The sequence below is a fragment of the Homo sapiens genome, chromosome 12 (assembly GCF_000001405.40).
Source record: "Homo sapiens chromosome 12, GRCh38.p14 Primary Assembly".
Taxonomy (NCBI): domain Eukaryota; kingdom Metazoa; phylum Chordata; class Mammalia; order Primates; family Hominidae; genus Homo; species Homo sapiens.
The window spans coordinates 26,791,297-26,807,481 of record NC_000012.12 but is presented as its reverse complement, the minus strand read 5'-3'; the positions used below and the strand labels follow the sequence as shown (position 1 = coordinate 26,807,481).

At 37.0% G+C, this 16,185-nt stretch overlaps 1 protein-coding gene, 1 long non-coding RNA gene and 1 pseudogene across 9 annotated transcripts in view, besides 1 other annotated feature; 2 read left to right on the top strand and 1 right to left on the bottom strand.

The window, feature by feature from the left end:
- Positions 1-16,185, top strand: part of ITPR2 (inositol 1,4,5-trisphosphate receptor type 2) — a 497,843-nt gene that overhangs the window by 25,713 nt on the left and 455,945 nt on the right. The gene's annotated exons all lie outside the window — the stretch shown is intronic.
- Positions 5,361-5,530: an enhancer, noted in NCBI's record as "experimental_27003 CRE fragment used in MPRA reporter constructs". NCBI's record gives its function as "activates a minimal promoter by MPRAs in K562 erythroleukemia cells, with activity observed for both the introgressed and non-introgressed 12:26954970 variant alleles {active_cell/tissue: K562}" and the evidence as "EXISTENCE:reporter gene assay evidence [ECO:0000049][PMID:34662402]".
- LOC101929091 (enoyl-CoA hydratase domain containing 2 pseudogene) lies at positions 5,597-6,641 on the bottom strand (annotated as a pseudogene).
- LOC124902902 (uncharacterized) lies at positions 11,711-13,334 on the top strand. Its single transcript, XR_007063252.1, has 2 exons — positions 11,711-11,868; positions 11,952-13,334. It is a non-coding gene; the product is annotated as an uncharacterized LOC124902902 (long non-coding RNA).

Sequence of the window (16,185 nt, the reverse complement as noted above, 5' to 3'; positions counted from 1 at the left end):
TACCCTCTGATGCCTGCAGCAGGACATTGGCATGGACTGAACACATTGTGCTTGGCTGGGTTCATAAGTAGAATCAGTGCAGGTTGATTCTGGGTGGGAAAGGAAATACTTTGCAATGTATGGGTATTGTTGAAATCCTTTCCTATGTGTTTTGTTTTATTACAGTGGAACATAGAATCAATGACTAAGATTTCAAATGACTACAATTTCAATTATTATTTTTTGACATATATTTCATTTAACATGGATTTTCGAACAATGAATATATATATATCTTCTTTTTTGTTTTTTTTGAGACAGAGTCTTGCTCTGTTACCCAGGCCGGAGTGCAGTGGTGTAATCTCGGCTCACTGCAACCTCCACCTCCCAGGTTCAAGTGATTCTCAGGCCTTAGCCTCCTGAGTAGCTAAGATTACAGGTGTGCACCACCATGCCTGGCTAATTTTTGTATTTTTAGTAGAGATGAGGTTTCACCGTGTTGGCCAGGCTGGTCTAATAGTGCATATATATATATTTCTTAAAGAGAAGAGGGATATTTTCTTTGTATAATATTTGTGAAATTTTGAGAATAACACCCTTAGGGTGATTCAAATGCATTTAAATCTTTCACATGTATTTTGATAAATTAAGATGGTTGCAATGGGCTGGGCATGGTGGCTCATACCTGTAATCCCAGCACTTTGGGAGCCCGAGGCAAGAGGATTGCTTGAGCAAACGTGCTTGAGACCAGAGTGGGAAACGTGGCGAAACCCTGTCTCTACAAAAAGACAAAAATTACCCAGGCATGGTGGCAAGTGCCTGTAGTCCCAGCTACTACCACTCAGTAGTTCCAGATCCTTATCCTGAAATTCTTTTCATGTTTAGTAACGAAATGTGAACTTACCCAGAATATTCCCACACATTTATTCTTCTCTTTCCCCTTAAGACGTAGTGAAGGGATTCAACTAGAAGGTAATGTGGTACTTGACACACAGTGGGTGGTCAGTTATACTTGTTTAAAAAAGGATGAGTGAATATAAATTAATGTGTAACAAACAGTGTACTGTAAGAGTAGAGGGTAACCACAGTCTCTTGTTTTTTTTTCAAGGCTTTTTCTATGTCTTATTTTTTCCTATTAAAAATCATGTTTGGATAACATTTTCCACCAAGAAGTTGAGTACATTCATATTTACTGAACTCAGTAAGTGAATATTCAGTGTTTACTCCGTGCCAGGCAGGGTCTAGTTTTCGGGCTCTGAAGTACTTAACTGCACTATATTTATGGTCATTACTATATTGCCATATATAATTCCACTCCAAAATCAATATAACAGCTCTCAAAAAAGAGCAACTGTTTGTATCTCCTCTGAAATTTCCTGCTGTGCTCCCTAGTTGGGAGATTGATAGCTTTTGAGAAACATATTTATGGACCCTCACTTTTCTTACCTGGATTGCTGTGCTAGTTTCCAAAGTGGTCTTCCCACTTCTGTCTCTCTCTTCCCCACCAGTCTATCTATTCTCAACCCAGCAGCCAGAGGGATCTTTTTAGAAATAAACCAGATCACGTTGAGCTACCTGTGCTCCCAATGCTCCCATCTCACTCAGAATGGAAACCAGAGTGTTTCCTATGACTTGGGAGGCCCTGCAGGTCTGGCCTTCCATTCCTTAATGGTTCAGATGTCCTTGCCAATCACTTACCTCCTTCCTGGCTCCTGCCAGCCATATTAGCTTCCTTGCAGGTCTTGGAACATAGTGAACACGGTCCCACTGTAGAGCCGTGTTTTATGTTTCCTTTTTTCTATAGTGTTTATCCCTTAGCGTGCTATGTAATTTATGGATTTACTATGCTTATTGCTTGTGATTTGTCTCCTCCCCATTCCCTCCTGGAAGAGTATTAGTTTTGTTTGCTCTTAGATCAAGCCTGGCACAAAGTAGCTGGTCAGTAAATATTTGTGGAATGAATACATTTCTTTGTGAAGATATTTAAATTCATTTTTTTCTGAAGTGACTATCTTACTGGTGAACTTCTTTCAACAATTAAGCAGTAATAAATAATGATGATGAAAATGGCGATAGCCAATCATTACTGAGTATGTACTTGGTGTCAGGTGTTGAATAAATAACATTAATAATGATGATAATGATGGCTAACCTTTATTGCATATAACTTTGTACTGAGCATTTTGCTTTATTAAATCAGTTAATTTTAAAATAAACCCTATGAGGTTAGTACTATTATTATCTCAATTTTGTAGTTAGGCCAGAGAAACGACTTTCCCAACATCACAGATTTAGTATGGAAAAGATACAATTGTGATATTAGACTCTTAAATAGAAAAATATATTGTTAAATTTATATTTTCCCATTTTAGTCCTATTAGGTTACAAACCAGTATGTCTCTTTACGAATTTTTATTTGTGGTCATGATCACTGTCTGAAGGATTAGGGATTAGAATTAGGGATCTCTGGCCTGGTGCGGTGGTTCACGCCTGCATTCCCAGCACTTTGGGAGGCTGAGGTGGGTGGATCTCTTGAGCCCAGGAGTTCAAGACCAGCCTAGGCAACATGGCAAAACCCCGTCTCTACTAAAAATACAAAAATTAGCCAGGTGTGGTGGTGCACGCCTGTAGTCTCAACTGATAGGGAGGCTGAAGTGGGATGATTGCTTGAACAGGGAGGTCAAGGTTGTAGTGAGCCAGGATTGCAGCACTGCATTCCAGCCTGGGTGACAGAGAGAGACCTTGTCTCAAAATAAATAAATAAATAAAAATAAAATAAATAAGAGTCTGTTTTATTTAGAGATAAATTCATTATCTATTATTAATTATAAATTCTACTTTAAGAGTACTACTATTTCTGCCTCCAGGGGTTGGAAAAAATATCCAGCCTATAAGCGAGGGAAATGATTTAATTTAATGCATACAGATGTAGCTCTTTTCAGCCATCAGACTTTTCTGCTTGTTTTTATTTCCTTTTGATTTTACCCTTGGTTTGCTCAGCTTTCAGAGGTCATGTGGGTTGCTTCATTATTTTCGGGTAAGGACTTACTCACTCCCTCCCAGAAAGAGAGGTCTCTGCACTTTAATTAAAATTCTCCAGAAGAAGGTATATCTGTCATTCTAGCCACAATTAGTCCCTTGCCAGTAACCTAAATAAATCTGAGAATATTTTCTTTGTGCACAGAAATGTCTTAAAAGAGGGATTGTATGCCCATTGATTCCATCCATACCAATTAAAAGTGTGAATTTGGAATGACAACTGTATTTTTTTTCTAAAACCCATGTTTATTCACATTTAGCCAATGTTAAACGTTGGAAGCTCTGTCTGAAGGAATTACCTGGGAATGGGAAGTTGTTTTGTTTTTTAGCTTTTCCCTTTTCTGGTAGTTCTCAGAAAGATTCTATTTACTAGTTGACTCAGAAACAACAGTCATCTGCTTGGAAATTTCACAAGGTAACTTAAAATTATTTCTTTATTTTTTATTTATATATAATAGTTGCACATATTTTGGGAGTACATGTGATATTTTGTTACCTGTATATAATGTGTAATGATCAGATTTACAGCCTCCAAGTTTCTGGTAGTATGAGTCTAGTTTCTCATGCTGTAATGATTGTGGGAATTGGTCTACAGTTGCCCGAGGTTTTTCTGGCCAGGGAAGTTCTCTTGCCAACTATTTCCTCCTAGGAATGTTTCTCTTTTATGTCTGATCAGTCAGGAAGTGGTAGTTGGTTCTCATGTTCATCTCTTTTTGAAGAAGGAGGCATAAAGGAACAGGGAAGAGGCAGGTCCTTAGGCTACAGAACGAATCACTGACTGCATTGTAGTGTGAAGATTTCAAAGGAAAAAAATGTTTTGGCTAACTGATGTTCTGTTCTGTCTAGGAGCTCTTACTAACTGGATTATTTTCAGAGGTCTCCTCTAGCCATCCACTTGTAGAATATGTAATTAAATGTTACTTTATGGTTTGCTGAGGGTATGAGCCAAGGACAAACAGCTATATCATTATTACATACTTGCTCCATCTTTCCTACCTATAATCTTTCTTTCTGCTATATCATCACTTACCTCATTTTGTCTTCTGCAGTTTGTTTTCTTTACCTTTAAAATATCAATGGATTCATTTAACATTTTTTTTTTTTGCACTTACTATATGCCAGTCACTGTGCTGGGTATTGAGGAGATAAAGATTAAAAATATACTGTACTGTCCCCAAGGAGCTCATTGTTTATTGGAGACATGTAGTTAGAGGTATCATACAATAAGATAACAGCTTGAAGTATAATACAATACAATAATAGCATGTCAAATATGGTGGGATCATAGGAGACCCTAAGCCTCTGGAGGATGGGTGAGTGTGGGGTTTTTAGTTAAACATAAGTTCAGTGTAAGCCAAGATAATAATAGTTTTTTAAAAGCCAAAACTGTAAATTTAGGCTATATTTTAGAAACAGAATGGGGATATGAAAACCATATAATCTGAAAACAGTTGAGGAAACTGGTATGTTAATATTCCATATATGCTCAAAAAGAATATATTTTCTATTTTATGTATGTCTATTAGATCAGGCTTGTTGATTACAGGTTTCAAAACTTATATCCTTACAAATTTTGTCAGTTTGCCCTTTCAGTAATTAAGCAGTGTGTTGAAATCTCCCACTAAGATAGTGTATTGTTAATTTCTCCCTGTAGTTTTGTAAATTATGTTTATTTTGAGGCTGTTACATATACATTTAGAATTTGTATATCTTAAAGCAGTGAAACACTTCTCATGATGTAATGGCTCTCTTTATTCTGAATAAAGCTTTTTTCTCTTTTTTTGATTTTTCTGATATGTATATATAGATATCTATCTATATCTATCTGTATATCTATATCTATATCTATATATATCTATATCTATATCTATATATAGATATATCTATATCTATATCTATATATAGATATATATATATCTCCTCTGCAGTTTGTTGAGAAACATTCCTAGGAGGAAATAGTTGGATATGTATATTAATTTAAAGAGACAGAGTCTCACTATGTGGCCCAGGCTGGTCTTGAACTCCTGAGCTCAAATGCTCCTCCTGCCTCGGCCTCGCAAAGTGCTAGCATTACAGGCATGAGCCAACATACCTGCCCTATTTGTCTGATATTATCACTGCTACTATACTTTTCTTTTTTAAAAATTATTTTTATTTTTTTTTTAGAGACAGGGTCTTGTTCTGTTGCCCAGGCTGGAGTGCAGTGACATGATCATAGCTGCTTATAGCCTCCACTTCCCAGGCTCAACTGATCCTCCCTCCTCAGCCTTTGAGTAGCTGGGACCACAGGTGCATGCAATATGCCAGGCTAATTTTTAAATTTTTTGTAGAGACAGGGTCTTGCAATGTTGCCCAAGGCTGATCTTTAACTCCTTGCCTCAAGTGATCCTCTCACCTCACCTTCCCAAAGCACTGGGATTACAGGCATAAGCTACTACCCCTGGCCCATACCTTCCTTTGGCTAGTATTTTCCTGCTTTGTTTTGTTCTGTCCTTATATTCTAGGTATGACTCTTGTAAATAGCCTATGGCTGGATTTTTTAATCCAACTACAAAATCTAGCTTTTTTTTTTTTTAACATGAAGTATTTTTATTTTGTTAAATCCTTACAGCAGTTTCATTTTGCAGATGAGAATGCTGAGGCCCAGAGTTTAAACAATTTGTCCAAAGTTATACAGTGAGTAACTGGCAAAGAACTGGCATCTGCAGTCTGACTTTTGGCACATGTACAACCAATACCAGAGTTTATTATCTCTATTGTCCAGAGGAAAAAACTAGGGGTATCTTAAAATCTCTTGACATCTCTAGTTAGCGCCTGATGACTGAGAGAGAGGTCAGGGCCTGAGAACCAATGATACAAAGACCCAGAGGGATCTATTTTAATTCTTCTTCATTTGAGTAGAGAGAGACAGGCATCCTCCAAAGCAAACCCAACCCTAGGGTGACATCAAGGAAGGTAGCAGTAGGTGGTATGGTCAGCATCTTGGTTCCAGGCATAATGCCAATCATATCATATCTATCATCATCCTTATGGAGGAACCGAAGCCCAGAGAGATGAAATGATGAGGGCAGTCCTGATGCAAATTTTCCTTCTGGATCCTGTTGTTTCAAGGTGTGTATCTCCCATGCTGAAGGTTAAATGGGGATCATTTGCCAACAAATTTTGGGGGTTGGTTCTCTCTGCCATGTTTCCAGCCAGTCCCAGGTTGGAATGTTCTGGGCATAAAATATCCCTTCAGTGGCCATCCCTGATGCAATGTCCACGTCCATGCCTTGGTCAGTGGCTACTTTGCCCAGCTGCATGGCAATGGGGACCTGGGGCAGGACCTCCTGGGCCAGTGCTTGTGCCCAGTGGTAGGTGACATCACCCTCCTCGTTTTAGGCCACAGCATGATTCACCAACCCCAGTGCCCACTCAGTCGTCAGCCTGTGAAGATGAGCTCCTTCACCAGGGCCACCCCCAGGCAGTGTGGCAGCCTCTGAGTACCTCCTGTCCCTGGGAGGAGCCCTCGAGTGGTCTCTCAATCAGTTCCATGACTTTCGAGGAAGCTGCCACTTGGAGGTCGCAGGCCAGGGCAAGCTCCAGGCCTCCACCCAAGGCGAACCCATCCATAGCCACAATGGCTATGGATGCTAACTATATATGCATGGTAACCTTCTCATCCAGCCCTTTATATACCTTAACCTTCTTTTGTATCTTCTCTATCCTTGTTGTCCTCTGCTTCATTCCAAGAAATTATTAAAACCTTTCTTCTAAGATATTAATTAGCTGTGTCTGATTTACTGTCTTCAGTCCACTTACTTATTCAATAATTATTTTTCATTCCTAGGAATTCTTTACTAAATCTATCTGGCCATATTTTTTAAAATGATAGGGTCTTGCTATGTTGCCCAGGCTCAACTCAGACTCCTGGGCTCAAGAAATCCCCCTGCCTCAGCCTCCCAAGTAGCTGGGACTACAGGGGTGTACCACCATGCCAAGCTATCTGACCATTTTTGATGTGTTCTTCCTCCTTGCCCTGTTTATAAAATTTATCTTCCATTTCTTTAAACATTTCATAATAGTTATTTTATATTTTTTAGTTGATAATTACAATATTTGTTGTTGTTTTTGGTGACTCATGCATAGTAACTTGTTTCCTTGTGTTATTAGTAATTTTTAAAATATTTGAGTTCATATTTCTTTGAATTTAATCTGTAGTATATCAAGTATAAAACTTTTTTTGGTCTTTTTTTTTTGAATGGAAAGTTTTTTCTTGATCACAACTGTAAATTCTGGACAAAATATAAAAAACAGCTATGTGTAGCCACTGGAGAGTGACCAAAAGCAGACAGAAACCTGGGGTGGGGGAGGTGTCTGTACTTGGAAGAAGAGAGTGAGACTAGGTGGGTTTCTGATTTGTATGGCCTTTTTTCCTGAGAGCACCTGCAAATTGGTGTCAACCAGGTGGTGAAAACTCAGATAGGAATGACAGTGTGATGGTGGTAAAGATCTGGACCTGAACTTGTCTAGTGAGTCACTTTTTCTAGCACCAATGATTTTCTGGCTCTTTGCAGGTGATTGAGAACTGGTAGTAGTTAAGGTCAGCTCAGCCACCACTAAATAATTGATCTCAACTGGTAGAGATGCCTGTTTATATTCTGAGAAAAGTACTTTGCAGATGCTTTGACTTTCATGAGAACTGTAATGGACAAGCTCAGACAAAATGCTTCACAAACTGACTTGCAATAACACTGGGTTCAAAGAGGTTGAGGAGGCAGGGTCAAGAGGATCAAGAAAAGGAAGTTATTTTAGATGGAGAAAGAGAAGCCCAGAAGAAAAAGTCACGATGATTTTTCTTTGGCTGGATTAGGACTGTAAGCTTTCAAAATATACGGGCAAATCCTCTCTGAAATCATTGTCAGATAGATGTGTTTCTCTTTGAAAGGCTATGTGTAACTCTTTTAGTTGTTTTTCCCCTTAGTTTCACCAGTACTGATACTCTGAAGATAATCGCTTCACAAGATGATGGCTTCTTGCAGTGCTTTATGAAAAGATTAATATGTTGGAAATAGCATTCTCCTTGTAGTCATGTGATACCCATATTTTAAAAAGGTAGTTAATAGTTAAATTAAATCATTTGGTCAGGGTGATAGCATTCATCAAAACATTTTAAATGTATGGATTCATCCAGTATTTTTAGTAGTACTTCAAAGTTTAGTGTTTATACTGTAATTTATGTGTGGGTATAGGTTAATTATGTCTTTCATGGAAAAATAAGTGGGAATATTTTGAATACCTAAGAGCAAGCACAATTCTAACTCTGAGTGAAACCAGTTTTAGAAATATTGGCAGCAACAAACCTATGCTTGATTGAAAACTTATATATGGAATTAAACATACTTTTAATATTTAAACCAAAATATATGTTTGTCAACATTATTGAAATTAGACATGTCTAAAAATAGGAGATAATGCTAAATTTATTTGTTTAAATTTAAAAATCAATAAAACCACACATTTCAAATGGCAAACAAAGGTGCACTTAACTCCTCTTGTCATCATAGACAGGCAAAATATGAGTGTAGCCATGAATGAATGTGGCATGTTGCATCTGTTTTGCATTTATAAGTTAGAAAACATTTTGGCAGAAAGTTTTGCAATGAAATTACTTCCTTCTTTGAATGATTTGAATTATTTATGGCCTTGTACAGGAGTGGCCATAGGACCTGTCAGATATAAGGTGGAAAACTGGACATTTGTAGAAACTTCTATTTCTGTTTAAGTTATTCTGGATTATGAGAAAAATTAATTACCATACAAACATGAATTAACATCCTTGGGATCTACTTCTTATTTGGGCAACTTGAGTGTTGGCTAAGTTAAAAAATGTGCATATTACTAAATAGCAAGATATTACATTTTAAAAATAATGTGTTCTAAGACTACGGTGAATGAATGGAACAAAACCACTTAGTGCTGGTATTTAGCTTGTAATGATAAAATAATTTGTAAGCTTCAAAAAAATAGATGCTAAACACTTAAACTTTCAAACTACAGTGTATAAATTATGATACATGTCAGAGGGCGCTAGTGAAGGATGACAAGCCAACTCTAGTCACAAAACAGGAGCAGAGAAACAAGAAACCACAGAAATACGAGGAACGTGTGGGAACACAGCTGCCCCATTTCAAAAATGCGGCACAGTGAAGTTCAGTAACTAGCATAAACACAGCTGGTCAAGGATGAGAAGTCAGGTTTTTTTCTTCTCTTCTACTGCTGCTTCTAAGTGCAGGTGAAAGAGGGAGTTGAATGACGTGCCAGGGTTGTGGGGGCCTGTGATAGATTGATGGGGTGGAGGGACAGTTTAGGTGAGAAGCCAGAAGATTGCAGCTGAGGGAGAAATTCATGTAGTCAAGCAGAGTGAAAATCCCAGCGTTGGGGGATCAAGTTATTTGTGATAAAGTTCTGAAAGTTCTTTTAAAGACAATTCTGCTGGGCGCAGTGGCTCACACCTGTAATCCCAGCACTTTGGGAGGCCGAGGTGGGCGGATCACCAGAGGTCAGGAGTTTGAGACCAGCCTGACCAACGAGATGAAACCCCATCTCTACTAAAAATACAAAAATTAGCCGGGTGTGGTAGTGTGCACCTGTAATCCCAGCTACTCGGGAGGCTGAGACAGGAGAGTCATGTGAATCTGGGAGGCAGGGGTTGCAGTGAGCCAAGATTGCACCATTGCACTCCAGCCTGGGCAACAAGAACAAAACTCCATCTCAAAAAAAAAAAAAAAAAAAAAAAAAAGACAATTCCATGATGCTTATGAATCTATCCACCATCTTAACCCCCTCTCTAGTAAAAGCTTTTAGTAATGTCAATTGTGGATGCCCCACCTTCTCTCTTTCCCCAAATTCATTTTATTTAAATGCATTTCAGAGCCATTTTGTTAGAAATGAACTATATCACTTAGTGGTAAATGAATCAGATATATGTGGTAAACAAACATCAGGAAAATAATATGCTGATTTTATAATATATTCCAGATGGAAATAGCATTTATGGCTTCATCAGAGAAAAGATACAACTAATATTTTATCAGTTATGTGGCATTTTCTTTGTAGTTGTTGGAATAATGAGGGACTGGAGACAAAGGAATTATTTGCTTTCTTTTAGAAATCTATTTAAAAATCTGATAGCCACATATTTTATACATTAATTTTTTATACCCCATGTGTATTCCTAAAATATATGCTGTTTAGTGTAGCCTATATATGCATCTATATAATGGAATTATATAACATTTGTTGTTTTTGGATTCGCTTTTTTTAAAGCTCAACTTTATGTTTTTGAGATTTTTAGTGTTGTTGCATGCAGTACAATTTATTCATTTTTTTGGTAGTTTTCTACTGTATGAAATTATTCATTTAGTCATACCTTTTGATTTTTTTTTGAGACAGAGTCTCATTCTGTCGCCCGGACTAGAGGGCAGTGGCGTGATATCAGCTCACTGCAACCTCCACCTCCTTGGTTCAAGCAATTCCCCTGCCTCAGCCTCCCGAGTAGCTGGGATTACAGGTGCGTACCACCATGCCCAGCTGATTGTTTTTGTATTTTTAGTAGAGACGGGGGTGGTTTCACCATGTTGGCCAGACTGGTCTCGAACTCCTGACCTCAGGCAATCCACCCGCCTCAGCCTCCCAAAGTGCTGGGATTACAGGTGTGAGCTGCCACGCCTGGCCTAGTCATAACTTCTTTATCCATGTTACTGTTAATGAAAATTTTGTTTTTTTTCAGTTGTTGCTATCATAAACAGTTTTGCCGTGAACACTCTTGTTCGTACATGTCTTCAGATGCAAGTTTGTAAGATTTCTGTAGAGCATATATGTGTCTAGAAATAGAAATGGTGAATGGAAGGGCATGCCCGTGTTCAACTTTTAAATGTCACATTTTTTCCAAATTGCTTGTTCTAATTTCTACTCTCTATAGCAGTGAATGAAAATTTGCATTCATTCAAAACCTTACTAACATTTCAATTTTTTTCTTACCTTACTTTTTACCAATTTGTTGGATATGTAGTAAGATTTTCATTTGACTTAAATTTTTTTCTGATTACAAATGAAGTTGAACATTTTATCGGACTTCTAAAAGATATTAGTGGTTCCTCAGGCTTATTCCTGGGTTATTTTGCATTTTTCTGTTTGGTTGTCTTTTTCTTATTGATTCATAGACATTCCTTATAAATTTCTGATACTAAGCCTTTGTAGCAAATATATTCTAGTTTGTAACTTGTGTGTTAAGGGATGCCATTAGTATTTATGGCTTCTTTGTATGAATGAGAAAAAAGGCCTCTGTTGGCTGCACAGGCTGTTCTCTTGTGCAAACATACCATTATTTCTGGGCAGGTGCAGCTTGTGCCACTGTATATGGCTTCAACAGTGGAACATAGACCACATTTCAGAACTGATTTTGTGTGTTGCCCCCCCCCCCTTTTTTTTTGTTTTTGGAAACAGAGTCTCGCTCTGTTGCGCAAGCTGGGGTGCAGTGGCGTGATCTGGGCTCACTGCAACCTCTGCCTCCTGGGTTTAAGCGATTCTCCCGCCTCAGTCTCCAGAGTAGCTGGGATTACAGGTCGTGCCACCACGCCCTGCTAATTTTTGTATTTTTTTGTAGCGATAGGGTTTTGCTATATTGACCATGCTGGTCTTGAACTCCTGACCTCGGATGATCTGCCCACCTCAGCCTCCCAAAGTGCTGGGATTGCAGGCCTGAACCACCATGCCTGGATGCTACCACCCTTTTTATAATATGCTTCTACAAATGCACAAGCATAGCAGTGGCCTTGTGACTCTTCTGTCTCTTTATATTGTCCTTGGGTGGATGGAAGTCTTACTTTTAATGTAGACAAACTTATCGGTCTTTTACGTTTTGTCCTTTATATTGTCTATATTGTCCTTAGGTGGATGGAAGTCTTACTTTTAATGTAGACAAACTTATCGGTCTTTTACGTTTTGTCCTTTATATTGTCTATATTGTCCTTAGGTGGATGGAAGTCTTACTTTTAATGTAGACAAACTTATCGGTCTTTTATGTTTTGTCCTTTTTGTTTAGTCTGGCTTAAATAATTTTTTCTACTCTCCGATTCATAAATATCATCATCCATGTATTCTACACGTTTTATAGTTTTACTTATCACATTTGAGGCTTTAATTCATGTGGTATTAACTTCTTATGTGAAGAAGGGATTATGTCATTTTTCCCCAAATAGACAACTAATTATCCTAACATCATTTAATAGTTCATCCTTTCCTTACCTTAATGTGTTTTGGTGTTGAGTTTCTAGATATGGCACAAATCAGGAAGGCATTATGCAAATTAATGATGTTTATAAAATACTTCAGTATACAATTGTGCTTTCTAATTTTAGATACTATAAAAATGGAATTATAGAATTATGAGATGCTAAAGCTGGAATAGACATCGACAAAAGTCAGTTAGCATTTCAGTAAAAAATATTGGAGTGTCTACTACATCTCCATTATTTTACCATGCATGTATACTTGGAAAGCAGAGTATGTGGATATGTAAGAGAATACAAGTTCAGCCTGGTAGAACAGAAGGAGGGAGCCAAGTCTTTGGTCTTGTAGATCTGGGTCCAAATCTTGGCTTTGCTCTTGAGCTGTCATCTCCACCATATCATTTGATCTCTCTAATCTGCAAGAGAAAAATATTTTGCAAAATTGTTTGGAAATTAGTAATTATGTTTATAAACATATAGAGCAGTATGTGGCATGCAATCAGTGATTGATAGATTATAGTTGTCATTTGGTTGGGAAGATAAGACTAATGTGTATGTCATACTTATATCTTGTAAACTAGAAGATACTTAAAATTGCTCTGGGAATTCACAGAAGAATATCTCATCACGGGGAATATAGCTTCAGTGAAGAAATGAAACTTGAAGATGTGTTCAAAGGATGGATTTCAGTTAATTTCTATAGATTGAAGCCAGGTTGGATGGATGGATTTCATTTATATTTCTGGACATGGACAGCAATAAAGTGTCTTAAACAATAAAAACGTAGAAAATAGATAAGAAAACGATGCATTTTCTCTTGACTGTTGGCATTTGTGAAAATAATTAATAGTATACTTTATTTTTGACAAAGTATCAGTGGACTTGAATTTAATGCATAAACGTAACTTTTTCATGTAGATATTACACTTCTCACAGAATTTTTAAGACTCTTGTTATGTCCAGTTAAAATTCCATTCACATTTACAAAATTCATACTTATGTATAAAATCAAAGTAGCTATTAAATTTTCCTTATACTTTCGAAGATCTAATTGTTGAGTGATTTTTTTCTTGTAAGTAAATTTGAACAAATAATTTACAGTTATGACCTTATGAAGAGAAGATAGGTAGGAAAAACAACAGGTTTTATGTTAGATGAGTTTTAGTAAAAAAATTGAGAATTTTAGGCTATTGCTATAATTGCCTGTTTGGCTTACTCACTAGTTAGTTCTAAGAAAAATAAATGTAGCCCATTAAGATGTGCACTGATGGATTGGATTGAAAGGTGCTACCTGAGATATTGTTTTTTAGGGCAGGCTCTCTTGGCCTTTTTCAGGATATGATATTTTTGATAATTTTCTGGGACATACCTACATAGGGAATATTTCCAAATCTCTCTTTCGTCTCCTATTAGTTGACTGTTTATTGCTTCTAGTTATTTTATTGTTTATGTTAACTACCAAAAATAGCATCACTGATTTTAAATGTCACTTTAATCATTCATCAATTAATTATTTAGCACCATCTATATTTTAAGCATAATGCTTAAAGATGGCCCTATAATGGTGAGTAAGACAGAAATGGACTGACTCTCTTGGAGCTTATAATGATGTTGCATATATATATACATGAAATTATAAAATTATACTGGGCTGTGATACAGTCTATTGGTAGAGGATAGCCTAGAGTATTGTGGGAGTGCAGAGCAGATCCTCCTACTCAATTTAAAGAGGGTTAGAAAGCTTTTTAAAACACACAGTCCTCGTCCCCAGAAAGTTTTATTCTAATAGGTCTGGACAAAGGAAGGTTTTTTTTTGGTTATCCTTATTATTTTTAACTCCCCAAATGATTCAGCCAAATTTGGGGAACACTGATCATGAGTGGTTAAAATGGGCAAAATTATGACATGGTCTAAATGAGTTAACTAGGGATGGAATAGATCAATGTTTTTCAGATGATTTTCTTCTCATAGACCAAAGGTCAATCTTTGTATTTATCCCTATTTGGTTGTAAATTCTGGTCCTTAGCTTATAAAAGTTAACTGCCCTACTGGTGGGTGGGAGAACCTGGCTTATCAGTGGTACACATGAAAAGGATCTGGAATTATTGTTTACTATAAACCCAATGAAAGTCAGAGGGGAACCTTAACTGCCACAGGAGCTACTAAAATTGTAGGTTGCATTTCTGTAAGTTTAGTATCAGAAAGAAGGAGGTAATAGTCCTCTGTACTCTGCCCTCGTTGGGGCACATCTAGACTCATGTGGATAGTCTCTAGGATCACAGGTGAGAGGATGCTGGCACTTGGGGTGTATGAAGGATGTTGAACTCCTGGTAAATATCCACATGGAGAAGCACTGGAGAGAAATCAGCTTGCCCATCTCAGAAAAAGAAAACTTAGTCTATATAGTCCCAGAAGAAAGAACTGGGAACAAAGAGGGAGAGTTAATTGGGAAGCCAACATCATTTATTCACTGACTCATTTATTTATTTAACAAATATTTATTTAGTATCTATTGCACCTCATTCTAGTAGATGCCAAGGATATAATGGTAAACAAGATGGATTCAATCTCTGACTTCATGGAGCTTAAAATTTATTGGAAGACTCAAGACAATTAGGCAAGTAGATAGAAGAAAATGTAGTAAGTACTATTTTACCTCCATATAAAACACATTTCTAATATTAGGGCTGTCAGAATGATGGTAAATGGTAGATGAGTTGGCCTTGGAAGTATTCAAGAAGAGGTTGTTGGGGATATTGTAGAAGTTGTTCCAGGATTTTGGCATTAAAAGTCAAACAGGATTCCAATTACCATTAAAATCCTGTTTGACTTTTAATGCCAGTGATCATATATGTCTTGTAACAGATTCAGACTCCTTGCTTCTTCTTGTCGTTTCCTTCCTTCCATTATCTTCAAATTCAGTTCCAATTCTTTAAGTCTTCAGGATGAAATGACTGCCTTAGTGATTTTCACAGATGTTTTTGTGTAAGGAATAGGACAAATTTTTAGAACTGAAGTCACTCTTAATTATTATGTTTTTATCTGGGCTATCAGATAATTGAGGATAGATATTAGTGTTCACATAAATACACTGTCATCTGATTTATAGCTTCAGTTCTCATTCCTCTTGATGGCTGGTCCACACAGGCGGGGACTCAGTGACATTCATAAAAGTCTGTATTTTTGTGGGAATGCACAGGTACAAGGAATGAATAGAATGTCAGTGTCATTTGTAATTTTTACATTATGTAATTTTTATGTGCTGTAAATAAGACTATGATTTTTTGACCATTGTATTTGAATTCTTAACATGTCTTAACCAATTAGAAAAGCTGACCTTTCCCTCACAGCACTTTTATTTACATCTTACGTTGTAATATTATCACAACTATTGGAGCCTTTCAGATTCAATGTTACAGGCTGAAGTTGGACATTGTGGAAGTTTGGGTTTGCTTTCTCTTGACCCAATGTGACTTCCTGTTTCTAATAAATCAGTTTCTAGAGACTCTTAAAAGGAATTTCTTGCATGCCTGGCAGCTCTTGTAAAACCACATTTTAGTAAACCAGTGTGAATGAAGGGTATATTAAAAAAATCAAGGAACTGTATTTCTTGACCAAATCAGCATTTTGTTTTGTGGAAATTGGATTCCACAGAAAAATCTGTTGATTTAGGAAGTGTCTGCTTCCAGTAACTAGATAAACTAGGAACCAAAAGTTTCATTTTGATTAAGTCAGTCATCCTAGTTCAACTCCTGTGCTGGAGTTGATGCATGCTAGTGAGTCTGGTTAATACTTCCTCTTCTTCTTTTTTTTTTTTAAACCACAAGGTTGCAATTTGGGCATCTCCCTTTAAATGAATTCATATACATGTAATTAATTAACATGCATTCTCACA